The sequence below is a fragment of the Homo sapiens genome, chromosome 19, assembly GCF_000001405.40.
Source record: "Homo sapiens chromosome 19, GRCh38.p14 Primary Assembly".
In the NCBI taxonomy this organism is placed as follows: Eukaryota; Metazoa; Chordata; class Mammalia; order Primates; family Hominidae; genus Homo; species Homo sapiens.
Genome location: NC_000019.10, coordinates 27,788,913 through 27,816,600, shown reverse-complemented (window position 1 = coordinate 27,816,600; position 27,688 = coordinate 27,788,913). Strand labels below are relative to the sequence as shown.

At 41.2% G+C, this 27,688-nt stretch overlaps 2 long non-coding RNA genes and 2 pseudogenes across 10 annotated transcripts in view, besides 2 other annotated features; 2 read left to right on the top strand and 2 right to left on the bottom strand.

The window, feature by feature from the left end:
- Window positions 1-23,170, bottom strand: part of LINC02987 (long intergenic non-protein coding RNA 2987) — a 231,539-nt gene extending 208,369 nt beyond the window's left edge. For 2 of the 9 annotated variants that reach the window (NR_146733.1, NR_146735.1), the window contains exon 1: window positions 22,992-23,170. This is a non-coding gene — a long non-coding RNA (long intergenic non-protein coding RNA 2987). Of the gene's footprint in view, window positions 1-9,818; window positions 10,997-18,424; window positions 18,848-22,478; window positions 22,707-22,950 lie in introns of those variants that run through there. The other 7 variants (NR_110688.2, NR_110689.2, NR_110687.1 and 4 more) reach the window with 7 other exon arrangements.
- Window positions 10,393-11,174, top strand: SLC25A1P5 (solute carrier family 25 member 1 pseudogene 5; annotated as a pseudogene).
- Window positions 12,209-13,060, bottom strand: VN1R95P (vomeronasal 1 receptor 95 pseudogene; annotated as a pseudogene).
- Window positions 20,501-21,282: an enhancer, noted in NCBI's record as "H3K4me1 hESC enhancer chr19:28286227-28287008 (GRCh37/hg19 assembly coordinates)". NCBI's record gives its function as "activates a minimal SCP1, AML or CMV promoter by ChIP-STARR-seq in primed H9 embryonic stem cells {active_cell/tissue: H9 hESC(primed)}" and the evidence as "EXISTENCE:reporter gene assay evidence [ECO:0000049][PMID:30033119]".
- Window positions 22,449-22,928: an enhancer, noted in NCBI's record as "active region_14401". NCBI's record gives its function as "activates an Ori minimal core promoter by ATAC-STARR-seq in GM12878 lymphoblastoid cells {active_cell/tissue: GM12878}" and the evidence as "EXISTENCE:reporter gene assay evidence [ECO:0000049][PMID:35858748]".
- On the top strand, window positions 22,661-26,108 carry LINC00662 (long intergenic non-protein coding RNA 662). The gene is made up of 3 exons (NR_027301.1): window positions 22,661-23,069; window positions 23,369-23,601; window positions 24,700-26,108. It is a non-coding gene; the product is annotated as a long intergenic non-protein coding RNA 662 (long non-coding RNA).
- Window positions 26,109-27,688: the final 1,580 nt, after the last annotated feature.

The window sequence follows — 27,688 nt, the reverse complement described above, 5'->3', positions numbered from 1 at the left end:
GTTCAACATCACTGATCATTAGAGAAATGCAAATCCAAAAAACAATGAGATACCATTTTATATCAATAAAATGGCTATTATTAAACTGTCAAAAAATAGCAGATGCTGGCAAAGTTGTGGAGAAAAGGAACATTTTTACCCTGTTCATTGGAGTGTAAATGAGTTCAACCATTGTGGAAGACTGTGTGGTGATTCTTCAAAGACCTAAAGAAAAAAATACCCTTTGACTCAGCAACCTTAGTACTGAGTATATACCCAAAGGAATATGTCATTCTGTTATGAAGACATATGCATGCACACATTTATTGCTGCCCTATTCACAATAGCAAAGACATTGAATCAACCCACATGTTCGTCAATAATAGACTGGATGAAGAAAATGTATTACACATACACCATGGAGTACTATGCAGCCACAAAAAGGAACAGGATCATGTCCTTTGTAGGGACATGGATGGATGGAGCTGGAGACCATTTTCCTTAGTAAACTAACACAGGAACAGAAAGCCAGATACCACATGTTCTCACTTATAAGTGGGAGCTAGATGATGAGAACACCCAGACACAGAGAAGGGAACAACACACACTGGGGCCTATCAGGAGTTGGAGGGTGAGAGGAGGGAGAGAAGCAGAAAAAATAACTAGTGGAGAGTAGGCTTAATGACTGGGTGATAAAATAATCTGTACAATCAACCTTCATGACACATATTTACATATGTAACAAACTTGCACATCCTGCACATGTACCCCTAAACTTAAAATAAAAGTTAAAAAAAGAAAAAAATTAGCAAAAAGATAGATTATTTTTGACTGCCTTGATGCACAGATCAGAGTCAACATGCACTGCCCAGCTCTAGGATTCTTATTTATGAGAAAGAAAGCATTTTCTCTCTGGTCTGCACTACTATTATATTGGGTTTTCTTCTATATGTGGGCAAATGTAATCCTAACCAAAGTGCTAGCTTTGCCATGGAATCCTTGTATAATCTTGGATAATACATGTCTCCTTCCTAAGACATTCTCCTATCTGTATAGTGGTGGAAGGCTGTGAAGGGGTGGCCTGCCCTTCCGCACCTGTAGGTGTTTCTTGTCAGGTGGAATGAGAGACTGAGAAAAGAAATAAGAGACAGAGACAAAGTATAGAGAAAGAAAAGTGGGCCCAGGGGACCGGTGCTCAACATAAGGAGGACCTGCACCAGCACTGGTCTCTGAGCTCCCACAGTATTTATTGTTCATTATCTCTACCATCTCAGAGAGGGGCATGTGGCAGGACAATAGGGTAATAGTGAGGAGAGGGTCAGCAGGAAAACATGTGAACAAAGATCTCTGTGTTTAAGGAAAGGTGCTGTGCTTTGATGTGCACGTACACAAACATCTTGATGCATTAAAGAGCAGTACTGCCGCTAGCATGTCTCACCTCCAGCCCTAAGGCTGGTTTTCTCCTATCTCAGGAAATAGAACATACAATCAGGTTTTACACCGAGACATTCCATTGCCCAGGGACAAGCAGGAGACAGATGCCTTCCTCTTATCTCAACTGCAAAGAGGTCTTCCTCTTTTACTAATCCTCCTCAGCACAGACACTTTACGGGTGTCAGGCTGGGGGATGGTCAGGTCTTTCCCTTCCCATGAGGCCATATCTCATGCTATCACATGGGGAGAAAACTTGGACAATACCTGGCTTTCCTAGGCAGAGGTCCCTGTGGCCTTCCGCAGTGTATTGTGTCCCTGGGTACTTAAGATTAGAGAATGGTGATGACTTTTAACAAGCATACTGGCTTCAAGCACTTTTTTTTTATTACTATACTTTAAGTTTTAGGGTACATGTGCACAAGGTGCAGGTTTGTTACATATGTATACATGTGCCATGTTGGTGTGCTGCGCCCATTAACTCATCATTTAGCATTAGGTGTATCTCCTAATGCTATCCCTCACCTCTCCCCCCACCCCACAACAGTCCCCGGTGAGTGATGTTCCCCTTCCTGTGTCCATGTGTTCTCATTGTTCAATTCCCACCTATGAATGAGAACATGCGGTGTTTGGTTTTTCGTCCTTGTGATAGTTTGCTGAGAATGATGGTTTCCAGTTTCACCCATGTCCATACAAAGGACATGAACTCATCAAGCACTTTTTTAACAAAGCACATCCTGCATAGCCCTAAATCCATTAAACCTTGAGTCAACACAGCACATGTCTCTGCAAGCACAGGGTTGGGGCTAGGGTTACAGATTAACAGCATCTCAAGGCAGAAGAATTTCTCTTAGTACAGAACAAAATGGAGTCTCTTATGTCTACTTCTTTCTACATAGACACAGTAACAGTCTGATCTCTCTTTCTTTTCCCCACAGGCTGCAGTGAGGAAGATTTAATTCTGAAGTTCTAGTGTTTTCACATGGCCCACATCCATAGTCCCTTGTACAGTTAATAGCATCCCAGATTCTCTTCGTGGGACTACTCCACCATGAAGGGTCCATCAGTCTATGTGTTCAGTGAGGATGTCACCACCTTCCAGATGCAGAGGACAGGGGAAAAATTGGTATGCTCCATGGGAAGCTGTTGGGGGATGGAGGTGGGGCTCACATGCACCCATTGTCTGTGGGCCTTTAAAGATCCTGTGTGCACGACCCTTCTTGGACAGAAGGTCCAGCTGCCCACTGCAGAACCCATCTACTTCTGCTCGAGTAAGGAAGATCTGGGCACACCCTGATCACAGCCCTGCTACATCCATCCTAGTTGGCAGGCAGCTTGGACCATGTGCATGCTGAGTTGTGGCTTAAGCGCTTTGACATCTAACACCTCACTGGATAATTGGAAAACTGGGATCTGGAGAGAAGCCGAGACTTCTCTCCAGGATATGGAGAGAAGAAACTGGGATATGGAGAGAACATAAAGTGGGCAGAGTCCAGAGAATAAAAGAGCATTCTGACATCCTAGGCCAGGGCTCAACTCTCTCACGGGGTTTGCTTTGGGAATGAATCCCTGAAATCCTGGGGATTCCTGCCAATTTTCTCATCATATGATGCAATCTCACGTCTGCACCATTAGACGCGTACAGGTTTGGGCATAAACACACATGTGCGCACACACACAAAAAAACACACACAGACTTCTCAGGTTAAAGATCAGAAGATGAGTTAATACTGATGGAGTGACAAGAAGAAAGGAAAGAGAGGATCGGGGCAGCTTTGCCATAAGGTAGGGGCACCCCATCTCCTGGTAACATGCCCAAGACCCATAACACGGGGGTGGGAAAAGATAACAGGCCAATGGCTTGGGAACCTCAAGGTTCCCATGGATTTGCCTGGGCTGTGGCCATCCCCAGGATAGCCTTCAGAGGACAAAAACTTGTTTTCTGCATTCATTGCTGTGCATAATTAAAATTAGGAAGAATCCCCCTATACCCAGTATGGAGAGGAATACAGTAGTGAAAACCTTATTTTTTTTTCTCTATAAACTGACATAATTGACCTGGGTGGCCCCTAAATTTCAAAGGCTTAAAGAAGTGAGCTGACCTTGGAAATTGCTCTGTATCCTCTGAAGGTCTTTCAGAGCAGAAAGTGGCCTGGGGGTTTGTGGGACTGAGCACACAGGCTACTGTAGAATGTGGCAGAGCATCAGACCACTGCTCCGAGGCCCAAGGACAAGACCATCCCTGTCAGAGCTTTGGTTTGTTTGTTTGTTTTTTTGAGTGGAGCTAAAGTCATTTTCCAGGCTGGGATGAGGAGGCCTGGGGAGTTAACTGGATACCTCAGAATAGTGGAGGCAAACAGGAAGCACAGAAGGCTTCTGAGGCCCCCCACATTGTCCTGGAGCCTGTAGGGCTCCCTCAGTTGTTCTCTTGTTTCATAGTCTATTTTTCTTTGTTTGTTAAATTGTTTCAGTCAGCTAAAATTTACATAACATAGAGTTCAATGTATTAACCGATTTAAAGTGTAAAATTCAGTGTTTTTCAGTCTATTTACAATGCTACACAACTGTCACCACTATCAAATTCCAAAATAGTTTCATCACCCTTTCACAAAAGAACTCCATATCCATCAAGCAGTCATTTCTTATTCTCCCACCCAATTTCCCTGGTAACGACTAATCCACTTTCTATCTTTAGTTGTCTATTCTAGTCATTTTATAGAAATATGTGAACTTTTTTCTTTGTTTTTTTTCTCATTTAGCATATGTTTTTATTATTTATCCATGTTGTAACACATATCATAGGACTGTATTTATTTTTATGGCTAATATTCCATTGTATAGATAATACCATATTTTCTTTATTTGGTTATTCACCCATAGATATTTGGGTCATACCTACTTTATGGCTATTTATAACAATGCTCCTATAAACATAATACAAAGTTTTTGTGTAGGCATATGCTTTTATTTCTGTTTGGTATATACTCAGGAGTAGAATTGCTGAGCTATATGGTAACTCTATCTTAACCTGTGGAGGACCTGCCAAAATATTTTCCAAAATGGCTGTATTATTTTACCATGCCATCAGCACGGTATGAGGGTTCTAATTTCTCCACATTCTCATCCACATTTATTTCTTTTCTTGAATATACCTATCCTAGTGCGTGTAAACTGACATTTAATTGTGGTTTTGATTTGCATTTTTCTAATGAAAAGAGATGCTAAGCATCTATGTGCTCATTGGTCATTTATATTTTATTCTTATATACTGATGCATTGTTATCATTAATAATTGAAATGTTCACTAGTAGAGTATTTTTCTAAGTTATAATAATAATGTGATTATCATTAATTATTATTATTATCCATTTATACTCAATGGAGTTTCACTGTTGTTGCCCAGGCTCAAGTGCAATGAAGCAATTTCGGCTCACTGCAACCTCTGCCTCCCAGGATCAAGCATTTCTACTGCCTCAGCCTCTCAAGTAGCTTGGGTTAGAGGTGTGCACCACCATGCCCGGCTAATTTTGTATTTGTAGTAGAGATGGGATTTCACCATGTTGGCCAGGCTGGCCTTTAACTCCTGACCTCAGGTGATCCACCTGCCTTGGCCTCCCAAAGTGCTGGGATTATAGTCATGAGCCACTGTGCCCAGCTTTAAGTTATTTATAAATGTTACAAAGGTATACAATAATTTACTCAATAAATGCTGTTGTTTTATTTTATTTTATTAAATTATATAAGCTGATTGTCTTCTTGGAATGCCCTGTATTTCTGAAATAAAATCTTCTCAGTTATTATATATGTACATATTGTATATACATATATATATACTTATATGTAATTTTACATCCAAATGTATCTTATATTGGCTTGGTTTTGAAGTTTTGGAATAATGACAGTGTTAGTCACAAAATTTTTCTATGAATTTTATTTCTTTCTTTCTTATAAAATGTATTTTAAAGAGAGATTTGAAATTAAGTAATAATGCAGGATAGAAAACCAACATACAAAAATTAGTAGCATTTCTATATCCCAATAGAAATCATTCTGAAAAAAAATTTTCTTTACAATACTTACAAATAAGTAGGAATAAACAACTAAATAAGGGAAAGATTTCTATAATGAATCTGTAAAATATAAATTAAAGAAATTAAAGAAGATGAAACAAAATGAAAAGGTATTTTATATTGCATGAAATAAAATAATCAATGTTGTTAAAATGTTCATACTGCCAAATCAATTTACAGATTTAATGCAATCCCATCAAAATACCAATGACATTCTTCACAGAAGTAGAAACAAAATTCTAATATTTATATAAAACCACATAAAAGAATATTCAAAGGCATCTTAAGCAAAAGCAAAACCAAACAAAACTGGAACCACCACACTACTTGGCTTCAAAATAGTCTGTAAAGATATACTAACCAAAACAGCATGGTACTGACATTAAAACAGACATGTAGACCAATAGAACAGAATAGTGAATCCAGAAGAAAATTCATACATTTGTAGTGAACTCATTTTTGACAAAGACACCAATAACATACACTGGATAAATGATGGTCTTTTCTGTAAATGATGCTGGGAAAACTGAATATCCATAGGTAGAAGAATAAGACTAGACCCCTATCTCTCACTCCATACAAAAATCAAATAGAAATGGATTAAATACTTAAATCGAATACGTGAAACTATAAAACTACCACAAAAAAACCTTAGAAAAACACTGCGGGTTATTGATCTGAGCAAAGATTTTTAAATAATGTTTCAAAAGCACAGGGAATGAGAGTAAAATGTACAAATGAGATCACATCATACAAAAAACTTCTGCACAGCAAAGGAAACAATCAATAAAATGAAGAGACAATTCCTAAAATGAGAGAAAATAAGGCTGGGCATGGTGGCTTATGCCTGTAATCCCAGCACTATGCGAGGCCGAGGTAGGTGAATCACCTGAGGTCAGGAGTTTAAGACCAGCCTGGCCAGCATGGAGAAACCCTGTTTCTACTAAAAATACAAAAATTAGCTGGGCGCAGTGACACACGCCTGTAATCCCAGCTACTTGGGAGGCTGAGGCAGGAGAATCGCTTGAATCTGGGAGGCAGAGGTTGCAGTGAGCTGAGATCGTGCCACTGCACACTAGGCTGGGTGATGAGAGAGACTCTGTCTCAAAAAGAAAAAAGAGATAAGAGAGAAAATATGTGCAAGCTACACATCCGACAAGCGATTGATAAGCAGAATACAAAAGAAACAAAAAACTCAATAGAAAATAATTAAATAATCCAGTTTTAAAATGGGCAAAAATCTGAATAGACACTTCTCAAAAATATAAGGGGCATAAACAAAGAAACTAAAAGTTAGAGAAAAATTATATAGAAAAACTGAAAATTTTAGAAAAAATAGACCCAGACTAGTCACATTAAAATATAATTAGCAATGAAAAAAAGAAAATTCTACAGCTTTAAAGTAGAAAACATATAGATTAGAAACAAAAATGGGAGTGAAGTATGACTTTGTTTTTACTTCTTGATTGATTATTACTTAGGTATTATCATTTCATTAAAATCCTCATATTTCTGGGCCTACTTAATTCTATGCTATTTTATTTTTTAATTTTTTAAATTTAATTTATTTAACTTTTGTGGGTACACAGTAGGTGTATATATTTATGGGGATAAATGAGATGTTTTGATACAGGCATGAAATACATAATACTCCCATCATAGAGAATGGGATACACCCTCCCCCACTTAAGCATTTATTTTTTGTCTTACAGTCTAATTATTCTCTCTTAGTTTAAAATGTGCAATTGGCTGGGCATGTGGTGAAAACCCATCTCTACTAAAAATACAAAAAATTAGCTGGGCATGGTGGCAGGTGGCTGCAATCCCAGCCACTCAGGAGGCTGAGGCAGGAGAATTGCTTAAACCTGGGAGGCAAAGGTTGCAGTGAGACAAGACTGCACCATTGCACTCCAGCCTGGGTGACAAGAGCAAGACTCTACCTCAATAAAATAAAATATATAAAATAAAATATAAAATATAAAATAAAATGTACAATTAAATTATTATTGACTATAGTCATCTTGTGCTACCAAATAGTAGGTTATATTTATTCTATTTATTGTACCCATTAACAGTCCCCACCTTTCCGCCAGCCCCTACTATCTTGCTTAACCTCTCAAAGAGGTTAAGAAAACTAACCTCTTCTCTCCACGTCCATGGGTTCAATTGTTTTGATTTTTAGATCCCACAGGTAAGTGAGAACATGCCAAGTTTGTCTTTCTGTGTCTGACTTATTTCACTTAACATACTCTCCACTTTTATCCACATTGTTGCAAAAGACAAAATCTCATTTTTATGGCTGAATACTACTCCATTGTATATATGTGCTACATTTTTTTTAATCCATTCATCTGTTGGTAGACAGTTTGCTTTCAAATCATAGCTATTGTAAACAGTGAAGCAACAAGCTGATTTTCTTTCTTTTGGGTATATACCCAGTACTGGGATTGCTGGGTTGCATGGTAGCTATGGTAGCTCACTTTTAGTTTTTTAAGAAACCTTCAAAATGTTTTTTTTATAGTGGTTGTACTAACTTACATTACCACCAACAGTGCACAAAAGTTCCCTTTTCTCCACATCCTCGTCAGCATTTGTTAATGTCTGTCTTTTGGATATAAGACATTTCAACTGGGGTGAGATAATATCTCACTGTAGTTCTGATTTGCATTTCTCTGAGGTTCAACTTTTATATGCCTGTTTCCCATTTGTATGCTTTCTTTAGAGAAATGCCTCTTCAAATCTTTTGCCAATATTTTAATTGAATTATTAGATGTTTTTCTATAGACTTGTTTGAGCTCTTTCTATATTCTGATTATTAACTTGTCAGTTGAGTGGTTTGCAAGTATTTTCTCCCATTCTGTGGGTTGTCTCTTCTCTTTGTGGATTGTTTCCTTAGCTGTGCAGAAGCTTTTCACCTTGATCTGATTCCATTTGTCTATTTTTGCTTAGGTTGCCTATGGTTGTGGGGTATTACTCAAGAAATTTTTGCCCATACTGATGTCCTGAAAATTTTTCACAACTTTTTTATATATAGTAGTTTTATATAATTTGAGGTCTTATATTCACATGTTTAATTAATTTTGATTTGTTTTTGGATATGGTGGGAGATAGGAATCCAGTTTTATTCTTTTGCATATGGATATCCAGTTTCCCCAGCACCATTTATTGAAGAGACTGTCTTTGCCCCACTGTATGTTCTTGATATCTTTGTCAAAAATGAGTTTTCTGTAAATGTGTGGATTTGTTGCTGGGTTCTCTATCCTTTTTCACTGGTCTATGTGTTTGTTCTTATGCTAGTACCACGCTGTTTTCCTCATTCTGGTGATATGACATATCACATTTATTGATTTGTGTATATTAAACTATGTTTGCATCCCAGGGATACACCCCACTTGGTCATAATGAATAATCTTTTTAATGTATTGTTGAATTCTGTTTGCTAGTATTTTGTTGAGATTTTTGCATCAGTATTTATCAGAGATATTGGCCTGCAGTTTCCTTTTTTTGATGTATCTTTGTCTGGTTTTGATATCAGGGTAAAACTGGCCTCATAGAATGAGTTTGAAAGTATTCCCTCCTCCTTATTTTTCAGAATAGTTTGAATAGGAATTGGTATTACTTCTTGAAATGTTTGGTAAAATTCAGTAATGAAGCCATCAGGTCCTGGGCTGTTCTTTCCTGGAAGAGTTTTTTTATTAAAGCTTCAATCTCATTAATTGTTATTGGTCTGTTTAGGTTTTGGATTTCTTTACTGTTTAATCTTGGTAGGTTGTATGTCTCTAGGAGTTTGTCTATTTTTTTTTTTTTTTTAGATTTTCCAATGTATTGGCATACAGTTGCTTATAGTAGCCACAAACCAATCTTTGAATTTGTGTGTTATCTGTTGTAATATCTCCTTTTTTAACTCGTTTTTTTATTTGAATTAAAAAAAAAATGTTTAGTCTGCTGAAGGTTTGCCAATTTTTAACTTTTCTAAAAGGCCAAATATTTTCATTAATCTTTTGTAGTTTTTGTTTTATTTTTTTCTGCTCTAATCCTATAATCCTATGATTTTTTTCTTCTACTAACTATGTTTTTTTTTTTTTTGACAGAGTCTAGCTCTGTTGCTCTTATTACTGCCATAACAAATTTTAATCCCAGCCTATCTCTCATCTACATGACCACAAACCCCTACACTATGGCCTGAGAGAAAACTGCTCACTAATAACCAAAAAACTGTTTATCCCTTTCAATGTCAGTGGGCTGAAAAAAAACCCCAAAAACCTGTTGATCCCAATACACTATCCTATACAACATATACCATTGCTTTTAACAAAAATTACAAGCCAACACATCCCCTTTTATCTTTATGTGAGATCTTTATTTGTGTTAAAACCAAATTAAGGTCCCAGCGTGGAATTCAGGAGGCTCCGATCCCAAGAGACGCCGGGCACTCCGCCTCCTGCCGGTCATGCCATGCCTGCGTCCTGGAACGCACGGCTGATGCTCCTGCTCCAGGGCAGGCGATCCCGGCAGGCAGCCTGGCTGGCAGCATCAAAATCTACATCACAGGGCCAGGCGCGGTGGTTCAAGCCTGTAATCTCAGCACTTTGGGTGGCCGAGGCGGGCGGATCATCTGAGTCAGGCGTTTGAGACCAGCCTGACCAACATGGGGAAACACCGTCTCTACTAAAAAGACAAAAAAATTAGCCGGGAATGGTGGCACATGCCTGTAATCCCAGCTACTCGGGAGGCTGAGGCAGGAGAATCGCTTGAATCCAGGTTGTAGTGAGCCAAGATCGCGCCACTGCACTCCAGCCTGGGGGACAAGAGCAAAATTCTGTCAAAAAAAAAAAAAAAAAAAAAAGAAAGAAAGAAAGGGGAAGGAAGGAAGGAAGTTGGAAGGAAGGAAGGAAGGAAGGAAAAGAAAAAAAAAATCTGCATCCCGTTCCCCACCGAGTTCGTGAAGATGCAGCTGCAGCTGGACTAGCACTCGCATCCACCGGATACCGGGCATGGGGCCTGCAGGCACACAGTCGCAGCCAAGGCAGCCTGGGCCTGGGCCGCAGCCTCAGCTCCCTGCTCTGCGGCTTCATCCACAAGGCGGCGTCAGGCGTTCCTCAGCAACCAGATGCGGGATGCCCAGGGACTGGTGAACAGCAAGGCGGGCAGCGGTGCGGCCAGTGAGCTAGCGTGGCCGAGGCCGTGGTGGTCCTATGTCCCATGGAGACCATCAAGGTGAAGTTAATCCATGGCCAGACCTCTCCAAATCCAAGTACAGGGGATTCTTCCACAGGGTTAGGAGATTGTGCGGGAACACCGGGACTTACCGGGGCCCCACAGGCCCCGTGCTGAAGCAGGGCTGGAACCAGGCAACTTGTTTCTTTGTCCTGACATCCCTGCGCAGCTGGTACCGAGTGGACAGCCCCAACAAACTCATGAACCCGCTGGTCGCTGGGTTCTTCGGAGCCATTGTGGGAGCGGCCAGTGTCTTCGGAAATGCTCCTCTGCACGAGATCGAGCCCCAGATGCGAGACCTGGAGGTGCACAAATGCAGAACACATGGGACTGTGGCTGCAAATCCTGAGGGAAGGGCACAAGACCTTCTACAAGGGCACTATTGCCTGCCTGGGCCGGGTCTGCCTGCATGTGGCCATAGTGTTTATCATCTATGATGAGGTGAGGAAGCTGCTCAACAAAGTGTGGAAGACAGAGTAAGCTCAGAGGGGCCGTGAGGGGACCACCCCAGCACCTCCAGAGCACCCGGCCACCCTTGTCTCACATGATTCCAGTGCAGAAATGCCAAAAGGCCCCTTCCCATATCCCTCGAGCTCTGTGGCCTGGTCTGTGCATTGTGGCCATCACATCCATCTGTCCCATTGTGCCATGTCTTCCCTGTGGTCTGTATGTGACACCGTGTCTACCTCTGGTCCCACCATGGCTGGATGTCAACTGGCCTGTGAATCTGTGTCCACTTGTTCATGTGCTTACTGTGAGCCCTGGGCCTGTGTTTCATGCTCTGTGTCATGGGACACTGTGCTCCGCCTCCCAGGGTGCCCGTGTGGCCTGGGATCTTGGCCCTGTAGACCTTGCCTGGTTCCAGTCCAGTGCCTTCCGCCCTGCCCTGGCCTACCACAGCTGCCTCTGGGCCTCATCCTGGTTTCACCACATTCCAGGGGCTGTAGCCCAAATCCCCAACCCCACTCCACCCCCAGGTTCTCCCACCATTGGCCCTAACTGGCCTTCTGGACCTCCCTTTGCCCAGAAGAGGGTGGCACCTGCCACTCTCAGGACCACCCTGCCAAGGCAGAATAAACCAGATCCTGTTGCAAAAATTAATTCATTAAAAGTATGAAGCACAGAAGAAAATGAGGTACCAGGAAAAGGGGTAAGAAGAAATTAGACACTGCATAAACTTGGCATATTGGAAATACCTATATTATTTTTTTGAGATAGTCTCAGTCTGTTGCCCAGGCTGGAGTGCATTGGCGTGATCTCAGCTCACTGCAACCTCCACCTCCCGAGTTCAAGTGATTCTCCTGCCTCAGCCTCCCGAGTAGCTAAGACTACAGGCGCCCACCACGACGCCCATCTAAATTTTTGTATTTTTACTGCAGACAAAGTTTCACCATGTTGGCCAGGCTAGTCTCAAACTCCTGACATCAAGTGATCTGCCTGCCTCGGCCTCCCAAAGTATTGGGATTACAGGCATGAGCCACTGTGCTTGGCCGGATATATATTTTAAATCTTTAAGTCAAAACAAGTGGGGAAAAGAGGATATCGAAATAATTTTGAAACAGCAGGGAACTATAAACTGAACAAGCAAATTTGGAAAAGAGACAAATATAAGTGGAATAATTTAAAAGTAAATAAATTTAATATACAATATGTGAGTTAAATATAAAATTAGACTGAGTTGACGACAGAATTAGTGAACTGGATTAGTGAACTGGAGTTTTCAGCAGAATGAATACAACCATATAAAAAAGAGAAAATAATAGCAATATGAATGTAATTATATGTATAGGAATAATAGAATGACAAGAAATAAAGCACAACTTAGCACATCAGTCTTTGTCATATTAGAAGATGTAGCTTATGTAAGAAAGTGAGCAGTATTTACTGATACTTAGCACATCAGTCTTGGTCACTTTAGAAGAAGCCACAGTGGGGGAAAGCAGGTTACTACTGAGAGACAAACTGAGAACCCATAGGAAGAAACAGGAGTAGAAAATGTAACCTGTGAATTTCTGTTTAGTCTTCACCAACCAGGAGGTGCTGGGGCTGATGGTGATGACCTGGAGCACAGTCAGGAGAAAGGTGATGGAGCTGGAGAGGCTCCTCATCACCCTGTACATGTAGAAAAATGCCTTGCACTTTAAGTTATTCTGCAAATGTAGTTACTTAAACAGGTCTGGAGATGCCAAGAAGACCGCAATGAGGAGCATCACTAAGTGTGCAAGGTCCAGGTGACAGGTGATGTGGTCAGTGGACTTAGGCTTGTGATCCAGAAGGGTTGTGAAGATGTGGAAGAGAAGGAAGGTGTTGGCTGTAAGTCTGATGACAGCTTGGAAGAAAAGGGCATTTTTTATATTACTATAAGTGCAACATGGTAATCTTAATGATGAAGAGGAATCATCTTTTCTATATTTGAAAAACGCAATAAGACTTCTATCATCAATGTTATTTATTGCATAGTCAAAACTATTACCAACCTTATCATTTTTATTTCACCCATTTATCTTGATCAAACCCACCTCATACAAATTTTTAAAAATGCAGCCTGAGCACTATATTATACAACAAATTACTTATACATATATAAAACATCCACACATTTACAATCACATGTAATCACATGTACGGTCCACATTGTCTATACTCATATAATAATATAGTACCTGGGCTCACTCTTCAGAAAGCATTTCTTTATTTTCTGCATTTTTTGTTTAATTATCACCATCCATAGTAATATGCATGTAAAAATAAATCACAGGTGTTTGAACAACTGAACTGAACTTTATGCTAATGGGAAAATAATCCCCAAAAATTTTCTTAGGAAAAAAATATTGCATTGAGTTGACCTAATATCACATCAGTGTGATAAAGTTTCTTTTTTTCTCCCTCTTTCATATTTAAGCGCCCTTCTAATTACGTGAGGCTTCTGCTCATGATAAAGATAATTTATCATGAAGTCAGCTGCTTGTTAACCTTGACACTATCTATATCTTAATTTTCCTTTGTCACATTACCTAAGATATTCACAGATTCTGGAGTTTAGGATATGAACATTGTTGTATGTGGGCAGCAAGCCACCCAGGTGCCGAGGCAAGAGACCAAGGACACAAGCTGTTCCAGTATAATAAAACATAAAACAAGAATAGTTATACCAAATATAGATCTTAGATATGATTATATATGAATATCATTAATCATTAGTTTGTAGCAATTACTCTTTATTCCAGTATTATAATAATCCTCACTCTATAATCATAACCTAGGAAAAAAAAGGCCATACAGAGATAGGAGCTGAGGGGACATAGTGAGGAGTGTGACCAGAAGACAAGAGTGCGAGGCTTCTGTTATGCCCAGACAGGGCCACCAGAGGGCTCCTTGGTCTAGCGGTAACGCCATCGTCTGGGAAGATGCCCGTTGCCAGGCGGACCGTGGTCTAGCGGTAGCCTCAGTGTCAAGGAAAAACACCGGCTACTTAGCAGACCGGGAATGGGAGTCTCCCTTTCCCCGCGGGGTGGGGGCGGTTTAGAGAAGACTCTACTCCTCCACTTCTTGTGGAGCCTAACATTAGTCAGGCTCGCCCACAGTTATCCGGAGGCCTAACCAACTCCCTGTGATGCTGTGCTTCAGTGGTCACGCTCCTAGTCCGCCTTCATGTTCCATCCTGTACACCTGGCTCTGCCTTCTAGATAGCAGTAGCAAAATTAGTGAAAGTACTAAAAGTCTCTAATAAGCAGAAATAATGGCGTAAGCTGTTTCTCTCTGTCTCCTCTCTCTCTCTGCCTTGGCTGCCAGGCAGGGAAGGGGCCCCTGTCCAGTGGACATGTGACCCACGTGGCCTTACCTATGATTGGAGATGGCTAACTCTCCTTATCCTGCCCCTTTGTCTTATATCCAATAAATATCAGTGCAGCCTGGCATTTGGGGCCACTACCAGTCTCCGCGACTTGGTGGTAGTGGTCCCCCAGGCCCAGCTGCCTTTTCTTTTATCTTTGTCTTGTGTCTTTATTTCTACACACTCTCTTGTCTCCACACATGGGGAGAGACCCACCAACCCTGTGGGGCTGGTCCCTACAGTTGTACTAACTGTATCTTTTCAAAACGCTTTGGTTCTCCTCTAGCTTAGTTTTTATATGAGACCCCTTATATTAACTCTCTTTAACGTCTCAGAATGGAAGTGTTAAAAAGTCCTGCTCTCAATTTTCCAGAGAACAAAAAACACATTTTTCAAATTTATGGCATTCATAAAGTTACATTAAAATGCTCACACGGGGATCTTTTTCTTAAGACTTCACTTAATATAAAGATACCCACTCATGTCTTCAAAAATACTTTGCTCTCAAATAATAAAGACAATTTCTCTCATATGTTAATTGAGAGATCTCCGTATGAAAATATTATTATGAAATTGTACTGAATAATTCAGAAATTGTTCTCATGGTATCTTCTTTGGATGCTGGCAGTATTATTTTATTAAATCAATTTAATACTGGATGTAGAACAATTCAGCTGTAAAATGCTGAGAAAAATCTTTTATATTCACTCTATTCCTCCCGTGAGATGTAAGAGTGTTCAACTGTTTTCAACGTCAGTTAAAACTACTCTGGCCCGTAAGCATAAATATGCAAGGCAATACAGATCATGTGACAGTTTGCATTCTTGGCTTGTACTCAGAGAATAATGGCTGAGGTAGAATATTGCTCTAAACCCACCTGATACGTATGAGTTTATAAAGGAGAAAGTGCATATCTGATATGTATGAGTTTATACAGAAGAAACTGCATACCTGATATGTATGAGTTTATAGGGAGAAATTGCAGTATCTTATTTACTTTTTCTTCAAGCACTTAATCTAATAAAGGGACATATTTATTTCAACTTCCAGAACCAAGCAATTGATAGTTCTCAACAATGCACATTTGGGCCCTCAGCTCAGTTAAAATCTGTTGCCATGTGGCACTCAGGAGAAACACCAGGAGAATACTCACGGAAAGGCTCAATGATCTCCACATTAGAAGGTTAACAAACCACTACAAGTAAAGCAATATTTGGATATAAATCACATATATATGTGGAATTATTCATTAACCATGTATCAGAATTATATTATTATTCTGTCTGTATCATAGGTTATGTAACAGAGAGAATAAATAGAAAAAGTAACATAGATTAGAAATTTAGTAATTTTTCACCCTAAAAGACATCCAGCTCATCATTTCTAATTTATGTCCCCAGTCTGTAAATGACTCTCACATACTGAATAAAGAGTCTATCTGCTAGATCATCATGTGGCCTCCTCTGATGAGACTTGGTCATTGGTGCTGAAACTGTACTGGGGAGAACTACAGTTCTTATGGATTGAGGTCAACAAAAAAAGTCCAAGAACATTAAATATGAAATTCAGGTAAGCAAAAGGATGTGTGTGTGTGTGTGTGTGTGTGTATGTATGTAATATATAATAGGTGGGAATAGAAATATTACACGCAAATGTTTATTTTATAGTTATACTAAAAAGTTATTTGTTTTCTATTGGGGAACCTGCCCCGATAATCACGTAGGTTTTTTTCTATTTTTCCTAAGTGTCGGCCAGCTTGAGAAATAAAGGGACAGAGTACAAAAGAGAAATTTTAAAGCTGGGCGTCCGGGGGAGACATCACACGTTGGTAGGATCTGTGATGGCCCACAAACCACAAAAACCAGCAAGTTTTTACTAGAGATTTTCAAAAGAGGAGGGAGTGTGCGACTAGGTGTGGGTGACAGACATCAAGTACTTAACAGGATAATAGAATATCACAAGGCAAGTGGAGGCAGGGCGCAATCACAGGACCACAGGACCGATGCGAAATTAAAATTGCTAATGAAGTTTTGGGCACCATTGTCATTGATAACATCTTATCAGGAGACAGGGTTTTGAGATCAACTGGTCTGACCAAAATTTATTAGGCGGGAATTTCCTCTTCCTAATAAGCCTGGGAGCGCTGTGGGAGACTGGAGTCTATTTCATCTCGGCAGCCTCGACCATAAGAGACAGGCTATGCCCAGGGGGGCCAGTTCAGAGACCTACCCGCAGGCACACATTCTCTTTCTCAGGGATGTTCCATCATGAGAAAGAATTCAGCGATATTTCTCCCATTTGCTTTTGAAAGAAGAGAAATATGGCTCTGTTCTGCCCGGCTCACCAGCAGTCAGAGTTTAAGGCTATCTATCTTGTTTCCTAAACACTGCTGTTATCTTGTTCTTTTTTCAAAGTGCCCAGATTTCATATTGTTTAAACACACACGCTGTATAATTTGTGCAGTTAATGCAATTATTACAGGGTCCTGAGGCAATATACATCCTTCTCAGCTGACAGGATTAAGAGATTAAAGTAAAGACAGGCATAGGAAATCACAAGGATATTGACTGGGGAAGTGATAAGTGTCCATGAAATCTTCACAACTTATGTTTAGAGATTGCAGTAAAGACAGACATAAGAAATTATAAAAGTATTAATTTGGGGAACTAATAAATGTCCATGAAATCTTCACAATCCTTGTTCTTCTGCCATGGCTTCAGCCGGTCCCTCCGTTTGGGGTCCCTGACTTGCCACAACAGTTTTCTTTCTGAATATTAAACTTAACTGTGTGTCGTGTATTTTTATTTGCTGAGTCTGGCAACTCCAAAATAAAGTAGTCATGAGATCTGAAAACCTGGGCATACCCGAGTGAAATAGAACAAAAACCCATGAAGTCACATAGGTCGATCTGAGTGTAAAGAAGAATTCGCTTCTATTGGATACAGCACACACTTATCAATCTAAATGCAAAACTCAGCACTCACTATGAGACGTAGCAACCAGCTTGCCCTTCGGTTGAAGGTAAAGCCCCTGAGCACTCTCAGAAGGCAGATAATACAGATCAAGTTTATCTTCATTATCCTCACTTATATATTGGGGTATTCTTAATACTGTAAGCCACAAAGCATATGCACAATTATGGATGTTAGGGAAAACACCACCATTAATTAAATGGACCAGGAACCAAAGACTGATTATAAAGTCTATGGGCTTGATCAGACATTAGAAAAAGAAGAAAGATTGTCATGAGAGAAAGAAGCTATTTACAAACCTACTGCAAAATACGCATTAGAGAATATGCTATTTTGGGCAATATAATAATTATATATAAGTATATAATATTTAATATTTAGTGTTGCATTATTTTATCAATATTCTGATAGAGTTCTTTACAGTCTGCCTGACATATACTGAAGTATAAATCTATATCAGAAAAATAACACTTTGTTTTATTTTTACTAGATTAATGATAAAAAGTGTCATATTCTCATCAATTTTACCACCAGAGAGGGACCCCATCTCTCCTAAAAATACAAAAAAATTAGCTGGGCGTGGTGGTGGGCGCCTGTAATACCAGCTGCTCAGGAGACTGAGGCGGAAAAATTGCTTGAACCCGGGAGGTGACGGTTGCAGTGAGCTGACATCATGCCACTACACTCCAGCCAGAGCAACAGGGCAAGACTCTGTCAAAAAAATAATTCAAATCCCTCTCATTATACTTTGGTCTCTTGCACTTGGCCCAGCTATATTCTGCTGTTTTGTTCTGTTTTTTTTTTTTTTTTTTTTGCTCCATGCTTCTTAGCCTGGTGGCAGGGGTGAGGGAGTGAGGATATCTCTGATGTTCTGAGGGAGCCTCACACTTAAGCACTGTTAATTGGGGTATGGGGTTACTGACCTTCAAAGAATTTCCTGCCCCTCCTGTGGATGCAATGCCAGGACAAGAGCACATTCCTCTCTCTCCCTTGGTGGTAGAGAGGCTCCTTGTCCATGTTCCTAGCTTCCAGCTGAAGTGGGTCTGCAACAGTGCCCTGTAAATTAACACTTTAGTTTCTTTATGGGAGATGTATCTGTGCAGAGATGTGTGTGTTGGCCTTGTTTTTCCACACTCAGCTGTGGTGAGTTTTTCCCCAGTGTCCACTGGATCAGGTTTGGATGCTCTTTCTCTGCAGATTGGTCCTTGTGTTCTATATGACAGGTGGGAGAGCTCTGTCTCCAGAGCTGTAGCAGTAGATGGGATAGTGGTCTCTCCTTATCAGCACTGTGGGGAAAACATTCTCGGGATTCTACCCTTTCTTCTCTAACAGGCCTTGTAGTGTTCCTAGAAAAAATATACAGAAAAATGTAAACTCTATGTCTGTAGACTCCAGGGTTTCTCATTCTCCTCACCCACTGACACACAGCCACCAGGAACTAGTTCAAATGTTCTGGCTTAATTATACCAGTTCACCAGGGTGCACTTGAAAGCCTGGGGCCAGGCTCCTGCATGCCCTGATGTTGAGTTTGTTGTCTTCCCCATGACCTCAGTTCTCTAAAGGGCTCAGGAGAAATCGACCATGCGTTTGTAGTTTCTCCAGCTTTTTTGTTTGTTTGGTTGGTTAATGTGTAGGAACAACTCTTTTTGTCAGGTCTCTACATCTACAATCTTAACTCAGAAACTAATATTTTTAGATATATTTCTTTCCTGTTATACCTTTAGTGCTCCTCTGCCTATGCTACTTGTTCTTCAGTATTTTTATATTGTATGTCTTTATCTCTCTATTTTAAAACCAGGTTTAATTCCTTCTTAATCTAATTAACAACTTTTCTATTTTCTTTCATTTATTCTCCTACGTGACTTTCTTCTGAGGCATTTAAAGTATTGATGTGTGTTTCGAGTGCAGGAGGTCAGATTATACATTGACATTTGTCCTTGACCACTGCACATATCACTTCAGCCCTGATTACCTGAAGCCAGATCTACTCTTAACATGTATTAATTTTACTATTCAATAAATATTAAGTCATCATGAACTGTATATATTGTTGCAGTTGTAGGCTTTATGGACCTGAATAGACAATAAACTAAATAAAAACCAAATTACATGGCCTCAAGGGGTATAATTTTTGATTAATGTTTTGGTTAATGAAAACATTCTTGTCTTTCTGTGATTTGCAACCTTGAGTGATTGTCTTGAAATAGGAACCACAGTTGAAACTGAAGTAGTTAGGTGTTAGTGAGATTTTGATGGCTAGGAACATCAGGCTTATTTTATAACTGAAAGGGAAATGAGAACACGTCACCAGTTCCATATGATCACAATGCATTTGGAATAATCACCATGGCAACCCATGACTGTTGTATTTTGAGAGAGAAGAATTGGAAATATAATGACCAAGCATAAAGCTGACCCAATCTAACATAGATCTTTGTCTTTAACACATATCTGTAATATTCATGTAGGCAGTGTATAAATAACTTATCAGAATTATCATTTATGTGCAGGTTCTTCTTTAATTTTCAAGGTTTTGTTTCTCCAGTAGTGAGTGTGGTACTGAGCAAAAGGGGCTTGCTATGCAATGCACAATAAATTAACACTTTGACACTGTTTTTATTTTTTATTTTTTAAAAAGCTTTTATTATAAATTTTGTTAGTTTTAAATTTTTTTTAATGTCAATATCATTTGGGTACAAGTGGTTTTTGGTTACATGAATGAATTATATAGTGTTGGATTCTGAGATTTTAGTGCACTTGTCACCTGAGTAGTATATATTGTACTCAACAGGTAGTTTTTTCATCCTTCATCCACCTGCCACCCTCATGTCTGAGTCTCCAAAGTCCATTATGTCACCCCGCATGCCTTTGCATACGCATGGCTTAGCTCCAACTTATAAGTGAGAACATATGGCATTTGATTTTTAATTCCTGAGTTATTTCACTTGGAATAATGGCCTCCAGCTTCATTCAAGTTGCTGCAAAAGACATTATTTCATTCCTGAGGTGCTGACCTCAGGTTTACTGGACACGTCTCAGAGACAGGGCAGGGGATGAGGGCAAGACCCCTCTAAGGCACTCCCCCACACCCTATCACTCCTGCTCTTAAAGGACCCCTGAAGGGCACTGAAGGGGTTGGACTTCTCAGTGCAAGCCAACACCCACACCTCCGAGTACCAACAGCCCCAGAGAACAGCAGGGGTCCTCAATCCTGAGCACCCCTCCAAGGAGGTCAGGAGAACAAGCCTTAAGCCAGAGAGTGAAGAGGATCAGTGTCTCGGACCCAGAGAGGATTCAGGGAAAGGGCACAGGAGGGACCCCAGTCCAGAGCCAGACAGAGTTCAGCTGAATGTGGGAACTCATGCCATGGAGTGGATAGCCCTGGATGACTGAAGAGCCCAGTGCCCAGGGGCGTCTCACCCACTGTGGAGACAGGCCCTTATATTAGGTGGCAATGGGGCCACCTGAGTTCTGGACCATGGCTCAAGCCCAGGCCAAGCAGCCCTGGAGTAAGGGCATGAGGCAGGGGGCCCCAAGCCAAGTTGAACACTGGGGTACCGTCCCTGGAGCAGCCTGGGGTACCCTGACAGCACCCATGCCCCAGTCTGCACACACCCCTTGTTCTGAAATTAACAGCCTGCAGGGGTGTCCTCAGTATCAGAACTAGTGGGCCACACAAAGCCCTGGAGGACTCTACAAACCCAGGTCCATGGGGAGCAGCCCTGTAAGGGCCAGATGGCTGGGTGGAAAAGCTGACCAAGTCTTCCTTCCTTTCAGCCAAATCTGGAAGAAAGGCACCTTGCCTAGAGCAGTGTTCCTGGTACCCAGGCCTCTGTGGGCATCCTTCAGCACAAAGACCCTCTCCAAGGGGGGATGGGCTGGCCCTCCCAGGACCACCAACCCACTTCCAGAAGCCCATGGGTCATCCCCACCTTCACCTGACTGGGCTGTCCCTGACGCTAAGGCCCAGCAGCACGAAGGGGATTCCACACAAATCAGGGCAGTAGGCTGCTCTCTGGCGGCACTGGGGGCTTAGGGTCTGGCCAGCCTGTCCCTGGCTCAGGACACATGCCTGGAAATTAGGGTTTTCTCCTCTGCTCTTAGCATCTCCTGGGTAAACCAATAATTACTCTCCCTCATGTCTCAAAATTCACATCTATCTAAAAGGCGCTAGTGAGGGTGACATTTCCAGGAAGCCATAGCCCATGTCACCCCCTGCAAAGCTGTGACCTTTTCCGCGGGCAGGCCAGGCGGCGGAGTTCTCCCAAAAGCGGATGAACTGGCACTCTGGCTGGAGAAAGCAGAGAGCAGCAGCACAATGGACAGCGTCTGGGACCTCAGGCCGATTCCACAGCAGCTTAGGAAAGCAGGAGGCCCCCTGGGCGGGAGGAGGCTTGATGCTCTGGAGGGAAACGGAACTGAGCAGCGGGAGGTGGGGTGAGCCTGAGACCCGACCGATTTTGGCAAAGGCGAGGCGCACTTTGCAGTATCATACTCTCCTCACTGCCCAGCCCAGACCTGCCCTTCAAGTCCCTCTATGGACTCACTCCCCTTAGCCAGGGGTGGCACAGATTCAGTAGCCAGCATGGGTTTGGAAACAGAGGTCAACACCGCCCTGCCCCTCCCTGCGGGGCTGCGCAACACCCTTGAACCCTGCGCATGCTGAGACTGTAGTCCCATAGCCCTGCGACCAACGGCCGGAAGCAGCTAAGACACTATTACCAGCATGCCCGGCAGGAGGGCACCGCGCTGCCCCCCCCCCTCAAGGGACCAGCATCATCCCCACTCCCGTAGCATACTGGGATTGTAGTCCCGCAGCTCTGCCACCAACAGCCAGAAGCAGTTAAAAAACTGTTCCTCTCAGCATGCCCTGCAAGGCGCGCACCGCTGCTGTACCTCCCTTAACGTATCCGTAACCTCCCTCAACGTATCCGTACCTCCCTCAACGTATCCATACCTCCCTCAAGGTATCCGTACCTTCCTCAAGCTATCCGCACCACCCTCTCTTCCATTTCATGCGAAGATTGTAGTCCCGCAGCCCTGCGACCAGCGGCCGGAAGCAGCTAAGATGCTACTGCTCCCAGCATGCCCCGCGAGGCGCGCACAGCACAGGCCCTCTCTCAAGGTCACCACCTCCACTCCCGTTGTATGCTGGGATTGTAGTCCGGCCGCCCTGTGACTAACGGCTGGAACCGCCTAAGACACCACCCCAGCCAGCATGGCCGGCAGGAGCGCACCGCGCTGTCTCCCTCCAGGGATCCGCACCGCCCTACAATCCTGCTTTGTGCTGAGATTGTAGTCCTGCAGGCGTACAACTAACAAGCTGGGTGCAGATAAGAGACTACAGCTCCCCGCATCCCAAGCAAAGGTCCCTCCTCTACGGAGCCCCTCCACGCGTCCACTGCGGTTCCGCCGTGCCAAGGGGAGCTTGGCTGTTCACGGGCCTCACCTGCTAGCGAGAAGATAGCTTGGCCGGGCGGCTGATCTCACCTTGTAATTCTGACACTGTGTCTCCCGGGCTTGTCGGCTTCATGACTTGTGCCCAAAGTTTGATTTCTCGCAGACCAGGTAAAAGCCAAGAGGCTCTCATAGGCGCCTTGGCAGAGTTGCCATTGGAACGGGCGTCCTCTAGTAGCTGGGATCTCCCCGCCCCTTCCTCCTGAGGGGCCACTCCTTTCTGCCCCACCCTTCTTATTGCCCCACCCTTTGCCACACTCCTTCAGAGATGCGCAGTGCTGCCCCTTTCTATGGGCAGGGCCGAAGGTCCGCGTGTAAAAGTACCCAGTCCCTGGTAACCTGACACTTCCCTTTTAAAAGCCACCTTTTGTCTATCTCTGGCCTGCCACGATTCTTCCTGTGCTCCATAGGAGGACCCATTGGACCCCCGGGCTGGCTGCAGGGCCCACACCTGGGTTAGACCTCGCACAGGGACGCTGCTGCCACTGTAATAAAGCGTGCCTACACGCTTCTGAAACTGGTGTAGGAACAACCTCAGTTCTGTGAAAGGCGGACGCAGCAGGACAGAATCTCCGTGGACATCTGTCTGGAGGAGCAATTTTACTGCGACATTTTAAAGAAACAAATTTAATTGATTTCCAAGGTAAGAAATTAAACCTTGAAAACTAAACTGAAAAGTCATCTGTGTTTGACAAGTCAGACTTTCTCCAAGAAGAAAACTAAGGAGTGCATATTTTCCATTATTATAAATAGTGAAAATGAGAAATCATAGCAACTCCCTGGAAAATCTTGCTCTGCCAGTTTTCTAAATCACAGTAGGGCCTCGATATGGTTTTATTTGTTTTTGTTTTTGTTTTGGAGTGTGTTCACCTTTTGAATATAAGAATTTGCGGTTTTGACCAAGTTTTTAAATTTTCAGCTATTGTTTATTTGTTTTTGTATTATATTTAATTTTTCTGTCTCTCCCTCTCTGTCTCAGACTCAATCATTTCACAGGTCTCTTAGGCCTCTTTTCATTTTCTTTAAACTTGTTTCAGTCTTCAGATTGGATGGTTTATATTGCTGTCTTCTGTTTCTACTCTGTAAACTAAAAGTTCTTTTTATTTTATTATTTTATTGTCTTCTATTTTACTCTTTTTATAATTTCCATGTCTCTGCTGAGACTCTACATGAGTTAATTCATTATGAGAATATTTTCCTTTACCCCCATGAACGTACTTATAATAGCTGCCCTGAAATACTTGTCTGCTGATTACATCATCTCGGACATCTTAGAAATAGCTTCTGCTGCCTGCTTTTTATCTTGTGTATAGTTTGCATGTTACATTTCTTCACACATTTTATGAATTTTAATATTGTGTAATAGAAATTATAAATATTAGTTATAGAGACTAAATTCTGTTGTATTCTTTGGAAGAGCATTGTTATTATTTGAAGAGGGGGTAAATGTGGCTGAATTCAAACAGAATAATTATCTTCCCTACGGTGGGAAAGGTTGAAATTCTCATTCAGTCACACACACGTATGTATGTATTGTATATAGATGAATGTTTCTATGTAACTATATATAATATTTTATCCAGATTGTATCATTGTTATCTGTGAGAGTGTTAGTTTAGCAAGCTACTCCAGTATTACCGGAAGCCAGAACTTCAGTTTTGTTTTCTTACTGGATTTTATGTAAATGAGAGTATCTACTATGGATAGTTTTACACCTACTTTTTCTTTTTTTCTTTTTTAGTTATTTGAGACAGAGTCTCGCTCTGTCACCAGGCTGTACAGTGCCGTGGCCTGTCTCGGCTCACTGCAACCTCCACCTCCTGGGTTCAAGCGATTCTTATGCCTCAGCCTCCCAAGTATCTGGGACTACAGGCATGCGCCACCACGCCCAGCTGATTTTTGTATTTTTAGTAGAGACGGGGTTTCACCATGTTGACCAGGATGGTCTCAATCTCTTGACCTCGTTATCCGGCTGCCTCCTCCTCCCAAAGTGCTGGGATTACAGGCGTGAGCCACCATGCCTGGCCACATCTACTTTTTTAAATGTGTCATTATATTTGTGATATTGTCATGATGTTTTCTACTTATATTTTATTCAAAAATTTTATACTTTAAGTTCTTACCTTTAGGTCTTTGATGCATTTTTATTTGTTTATGGTGTAGGGTAAATGTTCAACTTCATCCTTTTGCTTGTGGATATCCATTTTTTCCCAGCACCAATTGTTATAAAGACAGTCCTTTGCCCATTGAACGGTCTTTGTATCCCCATCAAAAATTATTTGACCATATGCTGCTTTATACTGTTCCAGTGTCCATATGTGTGTCTCTTTGCCAGTACCACACTATTTTGGAACTTTGTATTAAGCTTTGGAATGAATAAGTGTACATTTTGTAACACTGGACTTCTTTTTCAAGATAATTTTGACTCATTGGGGTCCCTTGAGATTCCATATGAAATTTAGGTAGGATTTTTCTATTTCTGCAAAATAGAATTTTTTGCTTTTTTTGTTACTCCCGACGTATTTTATTCTTTTCAGTGCTATTGTAAATGTGCTTGTTTGCTTAGTTTTGTTTTCTAATTATTCATCATTACTGTATAGAAACACAAGTGATATTTGCATGTTAATTTTGTATGCTGCTACTATGCTGAATTTATTAGTTGTAATACTTTTTGTGTGGATCTGTGAAATCTCTAGAGCTTTCCACATAAAATTATATTATCTGTAGGCTAGAGTAATTTTACCTCTACATTTCCAATTTGGATAGTTTGTTTCTTTTTAATTCTTAATTTGACTAGAACTTCCAACACTATGTGGAATAGAAATAGCAAAAGCAGACACCTTTGCCTTGTTCCTGAGCTTAGAGCAGAAGCTTTTTGTCTTTCACCCTGGAGTACATTGTTTGATGTGGTTTTTTAATGTGTGGATTTCACAATGGTAGTATTTTAGTTTTAAAATTCCTACTTTTTTGAGTGTTTTCACCCTGAAAAGATTTTGAATTTCATAAAATACTTTTCTCTGCATCCATGAGGTGATCAATGTTTCTTTTATTTTGTTAATGTGTACACATTGATCAATTTTTATATGTTAAAAAATTCATGTTTTAAGATATCCTTGCATTCTAAGAATAAATTGCACTTGGTCGTGGTGAGATCATCTTTCTTTTTTTTTAAATTTTATTATTATTATACTTTAAGTTATAGGGTACATGTGCACAATGTGCAGGTTAGTTACATATGTATACATGTGCCATGCTGGTGTGCTGCACCCATTAAATTGTCATTTAGCATTAGGTATATCTCCTAAAGCTATCCCTCCCCGCTCCCCCCACCCCACAACAGTCCCCAGAGTGTGATGTTCCCCTTCCTGTGTCCATGTGTTCTCATTGTTCAATTCCCACCTATGAGTGAGAATATGCAGTGTTTGGTTTTTTGTTCTTGCGATAGTTTACTGAGAATGATGATTTCCAATTTCATCCATGTCCCTACAAAGGACATGAACTCATCATTTTTTATGGCTGCATAGTATTCCATGGTGTATATGTGCCACATTTTCTTAATCCAGTCTATCGTTGGACATTTGGGTTGCTTCCAAGTCTTTGCTATTGTGAATAGTGCCGCAATAAACATACGTGTGCATGTGTCTTTATAGCAGCATTATTTATAGTCCTTAGGGTATACACCCAGTAATGGGATGGCTGGGTCAAATGGTATTTCTAGTTCTAGATCCCGGAGGAATCACCACACTGACTTCCACAATGGTTGAACTAGTTTACAGTCCCACCAACAGTGTAAAAGTGTTCCTATTTCTCCACATCCTCTCCAGCACCTGTTGTTTCCTGACTTTTTAATGATTGCCATTCTAACTGGTGTGAGATGGTATCTCATTGTGGTTTTGATTTGCATTTCTCTGATGGCCAGTGATGGTGAGCATTTTTTCATGTGTTTTTTGGCTGCATAAATGTCTTCTTTTGAGAAGTGTCTGTTCATGTCCTTCTCCCACTTTTTGATGGGGTTGTTTGTTTTTTTCTTGTAAATTTGTTTGAGTTCATTGTAGATTCTGGATATTAGCCCTCTGTCAGATGAGTAGGTTGCAAAAATTTTCTCCTATTTTGTAGGTTGCCTGTTCACTCTGATGTAGTTTCTTTTGCTATGCAGAAGCGCTTTAGTTTAATTAGATCCTATTTGTCAATTTTGGCTTTTGTTGCCATTGCTTTTGGTGTTTTAGACATGAAGTCCTTGCCCATGCCTATGTCCTGAATGGTAATGCCTAGGTTTTCTTCTAGGGTTTTTATAGTTTTAGGTCTAGCAGAGCCCTCAGAAATAACACCACATATCTACAATTATCTGATCTTTGATAAACCTGAGAAAAACAAGCAATGGGGAAAGGATTCCCTATTTAATAAATGGTGCTGGGAAAACTGGCTAGCCATACGTAGAAAGCTGAAACTCGATCCCTTCCTTACACCTTATACAAAAATTAATTCAAGATGGTGAGATCATCTTTCTAATATGCTGCTGAATTTTATTTGCTGGAATTTTGTTGAGTTTTGCATCTGTGTTCATAAGGGATAATTAATCTGTAGTTTTCTGTAGTGTCTTTTTCTGGCTTTGATATACGGTAATGCTGAGATTGTGGAATGAGTTTGGAACTGATCTCTCCTTTTCAATTTTTTGGAAGAGTTTGAAAAAGATTTTCAGTCTTTCAAAATGTTTGGTAGAATTAACTACT